The 14,406-nt window shown below is 39.0% G+C and overlaps 1 protein-coding gene across 5 annotated transcripts in view; it reads right to left on the bottom strand.

The window, feature by feature from the left end:
• LRRC1 (leucine rich repeat containing 1) overlaps window positions 1–14,406 on the bottom strand; it is a 129,121-nt gene that overhangs the window by 39,906 nt on the left and 74,809 nt on the right. For all 5 annotated transcript variants that reach the window (XR_007059279.1, XR_001743505.2, NM_018214.5 and 2 more), the window contains 2 exons: window positions 5,149–5,227; window positions 1,244–1,333 (listed from right to left, as the gene is read on the bottom strand). Coding sequence is in view for 3 of the 5 variants with exons in the window: in NM_018214.5 (NP_060684.4) it covers window positions 1,244–1,333; window positions 5,149–5,227 (169 nt within the window). In the remaining 2 variants the exon portion in view is untranslated. The remainder of the gene's footprint in view (window positions 1–1,243; window positions 1,334–5,148; window positions 5,228–14,406) is intronic.

The raw sequence follows: 14,406 nt of genomic DNA, 5'->3' as shown, positions 1-14,406 counted from the left end.
AAATTGTTACATTATAAATATCTGACACTTGATACAGCAAAAGTGAATTGTACATGCATGAAATTCACAATAAAATACCACTGTTTTCTCTGCAACTGATACCATACACCTAGAGTGTATTGAGGGCTTCCTGTCTTCTTCTCCTCCTGAGAGTTTAAGGGCAGAATTTTTAATTAGCAAGTCTAATGGCATAAAGATAAAACATCAGTGTACATTTCAGAAAAACACCAACTTGCTGGCTGAACAGGTGTCAGCTAGTTGTCTTCTGCCTGAAGAGGATAGAAAGGAAAGGGAAAAGCTGTCTGCAAATATTCTTATAAACCTCTGGAAAGAGAACTTTTGCAAAACAGACATGTCAGACTGTGCTCAACTGCTTACTGTGGTTCTCAAAGAGCAAGTTTCTGTTCTGTCTTAGAACTTACGCAGGACAGGTACAAACAAGGAAAATCATTTATGATGCTAGGGAACACTGGTCTACCAGGTTAGGGTAGACAAGTCAGACTTTTATTTTTAAGTGGTTAACCATGAGCTACTGCATCAACCTGATTTAACCTACTGTATGTCCTGAAAAAGTGAAAAAAGTCTGCAAAGATAATTCAACTAGTTCGTCTGTGGGAATGTATAACAGAACATTTATTCACCAGCATACATTGTCTTCAATGGATTCTATTTCTTGCCATGACTAGGTTCTCCACAACCTCTAAGCCGGCAACATGGAATGTGCCCATATCATTCCTTTCCTCTCCCAGCTCCACTCCCACTCTCCAAATACACCATTCTCATTCCCTATTCTTGGATCCACAGTTCACAAATACTGTCAGACATAGCTGTTCTTTAGGGGCACATACTTTTCGTTTTTAATGGAGTTGTTTGTTGGCTCTCCAGCATGGTTTAAAATTACTGAGTGGTTGTTTCTACCAGTATTTACTGACCACCTACATGACACATAGTACTTGGCTTAAATTAACTACTTTGCCATACATCAGTTTAAAGAGCACTTCCAAACAATTTAGGGTTTTTACTAGTAACAAGTAGCAGTACCCTTTTTAACCAATAAAATTTAGGGAAAATTAGATGCAAAAACATAGGAGGCTGGCTATAATCTTTCTTGAAGGTCACATTAAAGAATGAGTAAATGGCTTTCTGAGTAGACAAATAGGAGCTTTAAAAGGGAAGGAGGCTAGAGCTGATGATATAAACCCCCTTTCACCCTGATCCACCCAAACTTCACAAAAAAACTTACTTGCCAATATTTTCAGGTAGAGACTGTAGTGAGATGTCATTTACAGAAAGACATGTTAAATTCTGTAATTCAGGAAAGCTTTCTGGCAACCTAAAATCAAACAAACAAACAAAACGCTGTAAATTAAAAAAGTTCATGTATAGTGTATACCAAGCATAAATATAATGATTTATTCTATGTGCTAACTGAAATAACCTCCTAAAAATGACATTATATATGGCATGTTTGCCTTGTCTTCCTATATATAAGACGCTTGTAAGGAAAAAACAAGACTTCGTATACATAATAGATGTACAGGGGCATGATAAACACATTGTTATGGTGATCTAGAAATAATTAAAGTAGAAAGATATGCAAGCTCTAAGAATAAAGGCAAAAAAATGTTGAGACTACTGAATACTCTATGAAAGAAAATGATGAATTATTGCTGCAGCTAAAAGTGCCTAAGAGTAAAAATACTTTATTGATTAGCAGAAACTAAAGAGAAAATTTCATCAGCCCATGAGATTATAATAAAACACAGGACAGCTACTGCATAATTTTTCTTCCTGTAGTTTATAATACCCAGGGGAAAGCTATGGAATACTTATTGATCCACTGACAGACAATTGCTACTTTCCTTTCTTTTTGAGATGGAGTCTCACTCTGTCACCCAGGCTGGAGGGCAGTGGCGCAATCTCGGCTCACCGCAACCTCCGCCTCCCGGGTTCAAGCGAGTCTCCTGCCTTAGCTTCCTGAGTAGCTGGGATTACAGGCACGCGCCACCACGCCCAGATAATTTTTGTATTTTTAAGTAGAGACGGGGTTTCACCATGTTGGTCAGGCTGGTCTCAAACTCCTGACCTAGTGATCCACCCGCCTTGGCCTCCCAAACTGCTGGGATTACAGGTGTGAGCCACCGCGACAACTGCTACTTTCTTAACATTTTTCTTTTAGTTCTATTTAAGTTGCCAACCACTTGAAATAATTTTATGTTTTACTATGTTCTACACAAAGGGATATTTTTTATATGTCCCTTAAAGTCTACAGAATAACAAGGCTTTAAAATAAAATCATGATTTAAAATTTACAAAGAAAGTTTAGTTTCAATATTTCTATGGTTTCCATATTTAGGGAGGGAAGGAAAACCTAACTAAAGGCAAAGGATCTCATTGCATCTAAAATGCTGAAGGTTATTAAACATAAATCTGCTAATAAAGACAACAGAACATTTAAGTATCACTTTTTTTCACTGAGGGAGAGATTTCTGGCTTTAGTGATGGTCTCTAGATTAGAATCTTCCATTTTTATCTTTCTAGGTTCCTTTTAAAAAAGGCCTACATAACATTATGTTTGATATTTAATATAGGTTAATTCCAAACTTCAAAACCAAATCCAGACCCACAAGATCAGGGTATTAACTGGAATATTTATAATCACTGGAATTTGTTCTGAGGAACAGGTAACAGAGGTAAGATTTTTACTTATAATTCAAAAGATGCAACTTATCTGTTCTGCCTGAGTTTTTAACCAGAAAGCATATATCATTTTATAATTTAAAAACTAGCTAAGATGTTCTTAAACATAAGAAAAATATAGTTTTGATTTAAATAGGTGTTATTTTACTGGCTGTTAACCTAAGGGCTAAACTAGATGTGATGAGGAAGTACAGACCCAAGGTTAGGAGAAACGAACTGCAGTCCGAGCTTCCCACTCATTAGCTGTATGATCTTGAAAAGTAATTTAGCCTACATGTGCCTCAGTTTCTTTAGCCATAAAATAAGCAAGCCAAACTAAATCATTTTTAAGGTCTCTTCAACTCACAGATGTCATCTTAATTCTTAAAAAACAGCACACCTGCCAAATTAAAATGGCTTTACTTTAAGAAACCTGCCAAATAGAAAGCCAGAATTAAAACAAACAAACAAAACAGTAAAGCCTCACACAAGCTAGGTGTGTTCCAGTTGAGAGAGCACTGAAATAATAGTAAAGTCAAATGTCAGCAGACATTAGAAAAGGAAAATCAAAGAAATAGAAAAAAGGAATACGCAACTGAATGGTTAAAAAAAACCCAACAGCAACATAACGAGTATTTCCCAGCTTGCCAAACCCTGTAGGCTGCCTTAAGTTTAGTCCAGTTCAACAAACATTTATTGAGCACTTACTCCATTCCAGGAATGACAGTTGCATTGAAGACACAATAATAAATAATAGAGGAATTCAAGTAACTTCCTTAGGTTAGTCAAGGAGTCTTGGTCAGAGAAATAACTTAAGGGTAAATTTCAAGTGTTATGAAAAAAGTACACAGAGAGCATTACGGGAGCCCAGAGGAGGGGCCTGTGGATAGTAATTGGGAAAGCCTTCTGGAAAACGTGTGATGCTCAAACTGCAACTTAAGGAAGGTGAAAAGGCTGGAACTCTCAAGAAGACAGAGGCATGAAATGAGCTAACTAGAAGCACTTTATGTTACAGCAGAGACTGATGTCCAGCACAGGTAACTGAGGTCAATGAAGATGGAGAGACATATCAAAGTCAGATGGAGGGGCAAGAAGAGGCTCACATAGCACATAGAGGAGCTCTGACTTTATCTTATAGAGATGGGAGCTATAGAAAGGTTTTAAGAGAAGAGACAGTTGAATGGAAGATGGTGGGGAAAGAGGATAAGGTTGGAGGGACAGTGATAAGTAAGAAAGCTATTAGGGTATAGCTTACTAGATTACTATTTTTCAGTAATAAATGTTACATGCAACTTAATCACTACAATTCAAAGAAGGACAAGCAGAAATAGTTTTAAAAAGAAAACATTTATTTATTGGCAATAAGAAGGTATTGGAAAAATAAAACTAAATAGTGCATTCTCCAGCACTCCATACCCAAGAAGTCCCAAGAAATTTTGAAGTGGGTGAGATGACTCAGAAATTTTAGTTTAATCTTACTTTTCCTAGATCAAAAGAAAAAAGACAGAAAAGAAGGGAAGAGTGCATTTCTTCTGAGGTTCCTCTCAGATTCTTGAGAAATCTTATAAATGGACCCACCTGGCCCAAAGAGACATCTAAAACAGATGCCCAAGGGCTATCTCTGCATTGCACGTGGGCACAATTCAGTTATCCTAGTAACAAGATGCCTGGAAGCCCATGGTGAGTGGACTCACGACTAAGCCAGGAGCCATAAGGAACAGCTCACAGCAATGCCACTCAGCCATGCCTCGGCAACAGACTGTGTCATACCAGGAAGGGTAAAGCTGGAATAAGTAGTAAAACTGACACGGTGGCTTTACTTGCAGGGAAAAAAAAAAAAGAAATCCTCACAGCTATTGCTAAGGAAATAGTGATGTTGATATGGGTTTTTTGGGTTTTTTTGTTTGTTTGTTTTTTAATGCAGAGTTAGAGGAAAGTTGAGACAAAAAGATAGTATGGCTGGGCGAGGTGGCTCCGGCCTGTAATCCCAGCACTTTGGAAGGCTGAGGTGGGTGGATCACGAGGTCAGGAGATCGAGATCATCCTGGCCAATATGGTGAAACCCCGTCTCTACTAAAAATACAAAAATTAGCCAGGCATGGTGGCGGGTGCCTGTAGTCCCAGCTACTCAGGAGGCTGAGGCAGGAGAATCACTTGAACCCGGAAGGCGGAGGTTGCACTACAACTCTTCACATTGATTCAGAAATGCACTCCTCATCCTGTTTTGTACACTTCACTGTGCTGCACCTTATCCCTACAACATACTTTGAGGTTTCTATCAATAGAATAGTACGCCTTTCATTGTACAGGGCTATTTATAAAGAAATATCTGTGAAAGTCAACCATCCTTGATAAAGACAGTGATCCATCTAGGTACCTCCAAGATGGTTAACCTGACTGTGTTCTCCGCTTGGCTCTCAAAAAAGATACTCTTACTAGTATAGACAGAAAAGTAAGCAGAAAGCTTACCTAGTCAGTGGGTTTCCGCTGAAGTCAGCTACCTGCAGTGCTTTACAGAATGAAATGCTTTCTGGAATTTCAGGAATCTCTGCAGGAGTAGAGAAAATGTCTATAATTTGCCACCATTATTAACAGTTTTCATCACTCTCAAGATGGATCACACTCACAAGAGAATATCTGGAAATTCCTACCTCCATTCAAACATGACCTAGACTTATAAAGTATTTTAATATATTTATATTTGCTTTCCTAATATAAGTTATATTCTCAACAGAAGCACATTAAAGAAAAATAATAAAAACATCAAATCTCTGACAAAATTATAGCTATAGGAGTAAGTTCTAGTGTTCTATGGCAGGGGTCCCCAATCCCTGAGCTACAAACCAGTACCTGTGAGGAACCGGGATGCACAGCAGGAGGTGAGCGGCAGGCGGGTGAGCAAAGCTTCATCCATATTTACAGCCACTCCCCATCACTTGCATTACTGCCTGAGCTCCACCTACTGTCAGATCAGCGCCCACATTAGATTCTCATAAGAGCATGAGCCCTATTGTCAACTGCCCATGCGAGGGATCTAGGTTGTGTGCTCCTTATGAGAATCTAATGCCTGATGATCTGTTTCCCATCACCCCCAGATGGGACTGTCCAGTTGCAGGAAAACAAGCTCAGGGCTCCCATTGAATCTACCTTATGGTGAGTTGTATAATTATTTCATTATATATTACAATGTAATAATAATAGAAATAAAGTGCACAGTAAATGTAATGAGCTTCATTTGTCCCAGAACCATTCCCAACACTGGTCTGTGGAAAAACTGCTCATATGATTTGGTTGTGTCCCCACCCAAATCTCATCTTGAATTCCCATGTGTTGTGGGAGGGACCCAGTAGGAGGTAATTGAATCATGGGGGCAGGTCTTTCCTGTGCTGTTCTCATGATAGTAAGTTTCACGAGACCTGATGGTTATTATAAGGGGGAGTTTTCCTGCACAAGCTCTCTTTGCCTGTCGTCATCCACATAAGATGTGACTCCCTCCTCCTTGCCTTCCACCGTGATTGTGAGGCCTCCCTAGCCATGTGGAACTGTAAGTCCATTAAACCTCTTTCTTTTGTATGTCTTTATCAGCAGCATGAAAACAGACTAACAGAGTAAACTGGTACCAGTAGAGTGGGTTGCTGCTGAAAAGATACCCAAAAATGTGGAAGCAACTTTGGAACCGGTTCACAGGCGGAGGCTGGAGCAGTCTGGAGGGCTCAGAAGACAGGAAAACGTGGGAAAGTTTGGAACTTCCTAGAGATTTGTTGAATGGCTTTGACCAAAAGCCTGATAGCAATATGGATAATAAAGTTCAGGCTGAGGTGGGAGATGAGGAACTTGTTGGGAACTGGAGCAAAGGTGACTTGTTATGTTTTAGCAAAGAGACTGGCAGCATTTTGCCCCTACCCTAGAGATTTGTGGAACTTTGAACTTGAGAGAGATGATATAGGTATCTGGTGAAAGAAATTTCTAAGCAGCAAAACATTCAAGAGGTGACTTGGGTGCTGTTAAAGGCATTCAGTTTATAAGGGAAGCAGAGCATAAAATTTGGGAAATTTACAGGCTGACAACATGATAGAAAAAAAAACATTTTCTGAGGAGAAATTCAAGCTGGCTGAAGAAACTTGCATAAGTAACGAGAAGCTGAATGTTAATCCCTGAGACAATGACAAAAATGTCTCCAGGGCATGTTCAAAGGTCTTCATGGCAGCCCCTCCTATCACAGGCCCAGAGGCCTAGGAGAAAATTGTTTCCTGGGCCCGGTCCAGGGTCCCCATGTTGTGTGCAGTCTAGGGACCTGGTGCCCTGCATCCCAGCCACTCCAGCTCTGACTAAAAGGGGCCAAAGTATAGCTTGGGCTGTTGCTTCAGAGGGTGGAAGCCCCAAACCTTGGCAGCTTCCACATAGTGTTGAGCTTGCGGGTACACAGAAATCAAGAATTGAGGTTTGGGAACCTCTGGCTAGATTTCAGAAGATGTATGGAAATGCCTGGATGCCCAGGCAAAAGTTTGCTTCAGGGGCAAGGCCCTCGTGGGAAACCTCTGCTAGGGCAGTACAGAAAGGAAATGAGGGGTTGGAGCACCCACACAGAATCCCTACTGGGGCAGTGCCTAGTGGAACTGCGAGAAGAGGGCCGTTATTCTCCAGACCCCAGAATGGTAGATCCACCAACAGATAGCACTGTGCACCTGGAAAAGCCACCAGACAGTCAAGGCCAGCCCGTGAAAGCAGCCAGGTAAGGGGTTATACCCTGCAAAGTCACAGGGGCAGAGCTGTCCAAGACCGTGGGAACATACCTCTTACATCAGCATGACCTGGATGTGAGACATGGAGTCAAAGGAGATCATTTTGGAGCTTTAAGATTTGACCGCCCTGCTGGATTTCAGACTTGTATGGGGCCTGCAGCTCCTTTGTTTTGGCCAATGTCTCCCATTTGGAATGGCTGTATTTATTCAATGCCTGCACTGCCATTGTATCTAGGAAGTAACTAACTTGCTTTTGATTTTACAGGCTCATAGATGGAAGGGACTTGCCTTGTCTTGGATAAGATTTGGACTGTGGACTTTTGAGTTAATGCTGAAATGAGTTAAGAGTTTGGGGGATTGTTGGGAAGGCATGATTGGTTTTGAAATGTGAGGACATGAGATTTGGGAGGGGCCAGGGGCAGAATGATATGGTTTGGCTGTGTCCCCATCCAAATCTCATCTTGAATTCCCATGTGTTGTGGGAGGGACCCGGTAGGAGGTAACTGAATCATGGGGGCAGGTCTTTCTGAGCTGTTCTCATGACAGTAAGTAAGTCTCACAAGATCTGATAGTTATTATAAGGGGGAGTTTCCCTGCACAAGCTCTCTTTGCCTGCCACCATCCACATAAGATGTGACTTGCTCCCCCTTGTCTTCCACCATGATTGTGAGGCCTCCCTAGTCAGATGGAACTGTGAGTCAAATTAAACCCCCTTCTGTCTTAAATTGCCCAGTCTCGGATATGTCTTTACCAGCAGTGTGAAAATGGACTAATACAACTGTCTTCCACAAAACCGGTCCGTGGTGCCAAAAAAAGTTGAGAACTGCTGTTGTATAGCACTGTAAGATGACTACAGTTAACAATAATATATAGTTTCAAATGGGTGAAAGGAGGATATAGAAAGTTCCTAACACAAAGAAATGATAAATGCTTTAGATGAGTATGCTAATTACCTTGTAATTACACAGTACATTATATGTATCAAAGCATCACTATGTACCCATACATATGTACAATTATTTAACAAATCATTTAAATAATAAAATAACAAAAACCGCCACTACCACCATCAAGTCCCATCACTCTATCAAAAGCACTGATGGCATTCTGTTGTAATTACCTTTAGACTTTCTTTTCCTTATATTTTCATGTGGTGGTATCAGTACCAGGTATTCCAAAGTAGTGCACTTTTAAATTACGATTTTTTTCCTGATTACAAACATAAATATTTGTAAAATATACAAAGAAGAAAATAAACACCACCAACACTCTCATCACCTAGAGGTAATCTTTTATTGTGATTTTTTTTTTTACTTGTCACACACACACGTGTGCACACACATATACACACAGAATATGTGTATAAATAGATTATATTTCACAATACTAAGTTCATGATAATTTGTTTTTTGCACCTTACATTACTTTACAAGCTTTTTTCTCTTATCATTATTTCTCCAAGTAGTTTGCTGTTCTTAATGGCAGAAAAGCACATTGTATATATTTTCATATTTCATTTAATCAATCCTCCATTGTTGGGCATTTAGGTTGTTTCAAAGTTCCTGATGTTATATGTATGTGCATTCCTGATTATTTCCTTAGGCTATGTTCCCAGAAGTAGAATTACTGTGTCAAAGGCATTAACATCTCTACAGAGCTTGAAAAATATTGTTAAATTGCTTTTGCGAGCAGCAACTTATGCCCACTTATACTTTCATCAGCCTGTACAAGATGCCGTATTCAACATCTCTCCTCCTCTTTTCTTTCTTTTACATTTTAAAAAATGCCAATTGTATTGCTAAAATAGTATGGCAACATTTTATTTTGTATTCTTTTTATGACTATTGCAGCTGAACATTTTCCCCCATATTTACTGGCCTTTAAATACTGTGATTTTTAAAAGACCAAAGTTGCTATTTTAAATTCCTTTCTTGATAGAAAACTTGAGATTATAGCTTTTAGGCCTTTAAAAGGTTAGTCTGCAGCATTTAACTTCAAAAATTCATTTATTTTGGACATATTAACATTGAGAATGGCTAAAATAGAAAGATTTCTCCTGGTTCTTGCTGTTTCTTCCACCAGTCTGACTCATTCAATCTGAGCCAAAACATACTTAATATTTCTAAATTGTGGGTGATAGGGAAAAGGGAGAATTAAAGAAAAAATGGATGTCTTGCTCCAACAACCTCACAATAATCAGATGCTACATGAAAGATTTTAGTTCAAATTTAAAAGTGTAAAACATTTGGATCTATGCTAACATTTTCCTCACACTATTTTCTGCCTTGCATGGTCAAATGAGGTAGTGAAAAACAAACACTATGGTCCTAGTTTATATAAATATAATCGCTTATTTATGAAAGTAATAGCATAAATATAATAGCTTATTTGTGAAAGTAGGACCATAGTGTTTGTTTTTCACTAATATTATATATATATCATATATATATAGCTGTCAAATCTATAGTTGAATCTGGAATAGATTTTTAAAACTCACGAACATTTGTGGACCCTTAGTACAAATTCGGCTGTAGCCCTTTTATAAACATTATCTTATTTAATCTCCTCAAAATATTTTAACTTTCATTATACAAAATGGACACTAAGGCTCAGAGAGATGAAGTGACTCACCCACCACTACAGGTCTATTTCACTGAGTGCTGGCCCTCCCATGTTCAAGTCATGGCATTGCCATGCTTAAGAATAAACAAGCAAATTCATCACAGGATGAGCATCACTGTTCAGGCAAGCAAGGCCGCGCCATGCCATTGGCTTGCCATGGTCTGAAAAGTGCTGGTCAGCCTGAATACTCCATGGTAGTCTCTCTTCTTGTCACTATTTCTGGTTCTGAGGAGCAGTCTATAAGGCTGAGAAAAGAGATGCCTCATTATCTCAGCACAATAAAGGCCACTTATGACAAACCCACAATGAACATCATATGGAATGAAGAAAAGTTGAAAGCTTTTTTCGTAAGATCTAGACAAGACAAGAAAGTCCTGCCCAGAGAGATTAGGCAAGAGAAAGGAATAAAGGGCATCCATACTGGAAAAGCAGAAGCTAAATTGTCCTTGTTTGTAGATGACATAATTTTACATATAGAAAACCCTAAAGACTCCATAAAAAACCCATGAGAACTAGTAAATAAACTCAATAAACTTACAGGATACAAATTCAACATAGAAAAATCAGTAGCATTTCCCGGCCGGGCATGGTGGCTCGCGCCTGTGGTCCCAGCGCTTTGGGAGGCTGAGGCGGGCAGATCACGGGGTCAGGAGATCAAAACCATCCTGGCTAGCGCAGTGAAACCCTGTCTCCACTAAAAATACAAAAAAAAAAAAAATTAGCCGGGCGTGGTGGCGGATACCTGTGGTCCCAGCTATTCGGGAGGCTGAGGCAGGAGAATGGCATGAACCCAGGAGGCGGAGCTTGTAGCGAGCCCAGATCGCACCACTGCACAGTAGCCTGGGCAACAGAGTGAGACTCTGTCTCAATTAAAAAAAAAAAAAAAAGAAAAATCGGTAGCACTTCTATACACCAATGGTGAACTACCTAAAAAAGAAATTTTTAAAAATCAATCCCATTTATAATAGCTACAAAAAATAAAATGCCTAAGAATAAATTTAACCAAATAGGTAAAAAATCTCTACAATGAAAACTATAAAACACTGATGAAAAAAATTGAAGAGGATATAAATAAATGGAAAGATATACTGTGCTTATGGGTTAGAAGAATTAACATTGTGGCCAGGCATGGTGGCTTACACTTGCAATCCCAGCACTTTGGGAGGTCGAAGCAGGCAGATCACTTGAGGTCAGGATTTCGAGACCAGATTGGCCAACATGGTGAAACTCCATCTCTACTAAAAATACAAAAATTAGCCAGGTGCAGCGGTGCATGCCTGTAATCCTACCTACTCTGGAGGCCGAGGCAAGAGAATTGCTTGAACGTGGGAGGCCAAGGTTGCAGTGATCCAAGAATGTACCACTGAACTCCGGCTTGAATGACAGAGCAAGACTCTGTCTCCAAAAAAAAAAAAAAAAAAAAAGAGAAAAGAAAATTGTTAAAAGTGTCTATACTACCCAAAGCAATCTATAGATTCAATGCAATTGCTGTCAAAATACCACTGATATTCTTCATAGAAATAGAAAAAACAATCCTCTAATTCTTACAGAACCACAAAAGACCCCAAAAAGCCAAAGTAATGCTAAAGAAAAAGAACAAAGCTGGAAGCAACATACTACCTGACTTCAAAAGGATACAAAAAAAAGGAAATTATTATACACTGTTAGTGAAAATGTAAATTACCATACTACAAAGCAATAGTAACCAAAACAGTATGGTACTAGCATAGAAACTGATACATAGACCAGTGAAATAGAATAGAGAACCCAGAAATAAATCCACTCACTACAAATTGGGTTCAGTGTATACTGCTTGGTTGATGGTTGAACCAAAATCTCACAAATCACCACTGAAGAACTTATGTAACCAAATACCACCTGTTCCCCAAAAACCTACGGAAATAAAAATTTTTTTTAAAAAACAGAAATAAATCCACTCATTTACAGCCAACTGATTTTCAACAAAGGTGCCAAAAACACACATTAGGTGCGCTGGAAAAACCGGATATCCACATGCAGAAGAATGAAACGAGATCCCTATCTCTCACCATATATAAAAATTGACTCAAAATGGGTTAAAGCCTTAAATGTAAGACCTGAAACTATACAACTACCAAAGGAAAACAGGAGAAATGCTTCATGGCATTGGTCTGGGCAAGGATTTCTTTGGACAAGACCTCAAAAACACAGGCAACAAAAGCAAAAAACAGGCCAGGGGCGGTAGCTCATACCTGTAATCCCAGCACTTTGGGAAGCCAAGGCGGGCCGATCACCTGAGTTCAGGAGTTCGAGACCAGCCTGGCTAACATGGCAAAACCCCGTCTCCACTAAAAATACAAAAATTAGCTGGGCATGGTGGCACTTGCCTGTAATCCCGGCTACTCAGGAGGTTGAGGCGGGAGAATCGCTTGAACCTGGGAGGCAGAGGTTGCAGTGAGCTGAGATCACGATACTGCACCCAAGCCTGGGCAACAAGAGCAAAAGTCCGTCTCAAAAAACGAAACAAAACAAAACAAAACAAACAGATGGGATTTTATCAAACTTAAAAGCTTCTTCACAACAAAGGGAAGACTCAACAGAATAAAGAGACGACCTACAAAATGACAGAAAATATTTGCAAACTACGCATCTGACAAGGGATTGTTAATATCCAGAATACAGAAAAAACTCAACAGCAAAAAAGAAAAATTTGATTTTTAAAAATGAACATAAGATCTGATCTGAATGACATTTCTCAAAAGAAGACATACAAATGGCTAACAAGTACACGAAAAAAATGCCCAGCATTACCAATCACAAGGGAAATGCAAATCAAAACCACAATGAGATATCATCTCACCCCAGTTATTATAGCTATTATCAAAAAGACAAAAAACAACAAATACCGGCAAGGATGCAGAGAAAAGGAACCTCTTACACACTGCTGATGGGAATCTAAATGAGTACAGCCATTATGAAAAACTACGGCGGTTCCTCAAAAAATTCAAAATGGAACTACCATATGATCCAGCAATCCCACTACCAGATACATATCTAAAGGATATGAAATTAGCATATCAAAGATATATCTGCACTCCCATGTTTATCACAGCATTATTCACAAGAGTCAAGACACGGAATCAACCTAAGTGTCCCTCAACAGATGAATGGATAAAGAAAATGTGTATATTTCACACAATGTACTATTCAGCCATAAAAAAAGAATGAAATCAATGTCATTTGAGACAACATAGATGAGCCTGGAGGACATTATTTAAGTGAAATAAGTCAGACTCAGAAAGACAAATATCACATAATCTCACTCATATGTGTAACCTAAAGAAGTTGATCTCATAGAAGTAGCAAGTTGAATAGTGATTAAGAGAGCCTAGGAAGGGTAGTGGGGTGGAGGGGATGGGAAAAAAGTTGACAGGTATAAAGTTACAGTAAGATAAGAGGAATAAGTTCTAGTGTTCCATTCCACAGTATGCATGGTAACTAGAATAAACAATAATCTATTAAATTCAAAATAACTAAAAGAGAAGATTTTGAACAATCTCACCACAAAGAAATTATAAATGTTGAGGTCACAAATATGCTAACTACCCTGATTTGATCACTATGCACTGTATAAATGTATCAAAAACACTGCACTTCATAAATATGTACAATTATGTGTCCATTAAAGATAAAACTAAAAAAGATACCTCCTAATAAATTACAGCAATGAGAAAGAAAAATTTGAAAAGAGGTGTCTCACAAGTACTGAGGAAGAGGATGAAGCCACACATTAAAATATAAATTTTACAGTGGCTTACTACTCTATCAACGAAAAACAAAACTCAAAGAAGCACAGGGAAAAGACGAAAGGTATGTCTGTTAGGTAGAAGGCTTTAATATTACTCAGAGTAACAGAAGCATCACTGAGACCTGAGAAGATGGGCCAACCGAGAAATCACATGAATGGTGGCTGTAAGAAATTCTGGTCGAGCTGGTCTGGAATTCAGCGATCAGAGGATAACAAAAACAATTGCCAGAGAACACAGCTGGACTAAGTCCAGACATAGCAGACCTAGAGGTCCGGTTTACAGGAAGGTAAATTCTCTCTCCAGGCTAAATTGCTTGTATGCACAAAGTAGCAGACAGTAAACAGAACGCAAGTCTCCTGACTCCCAACACCACTTCTTTCCATCACATCCATGTCCTTAGCTTGACCCTTTGAATGTATTTGCCTGTAAAATAAAAACTTTAGACAAGAAAGGCAATAGTGTGGGTTAAAGAGTCTTGATTGCTGGTTTGCTTTAAGCAAGTTGCTTACCCTGAAATACTCAGCTAACATGTTAAATCCTCAGGGGCACTTTCCTTGAATTCCAAGATTAGATTG

Source organism: Homo sapiens, chromosome 6, assembly GCF_000001405.40.
Source record: "Homo sapiens chromosome 6, GRCh38.p14 Primary Assembly".
In the NCBI taxonomy this organism is placed as follows: Eukaryota; Metazoa; Chordata; class Mammalia; order Primates; family Hominidae; genus Homo; species Homo sapiens.
This window is presented reverse-complemented; position numbering and strand designations above follow the sequence as displayed.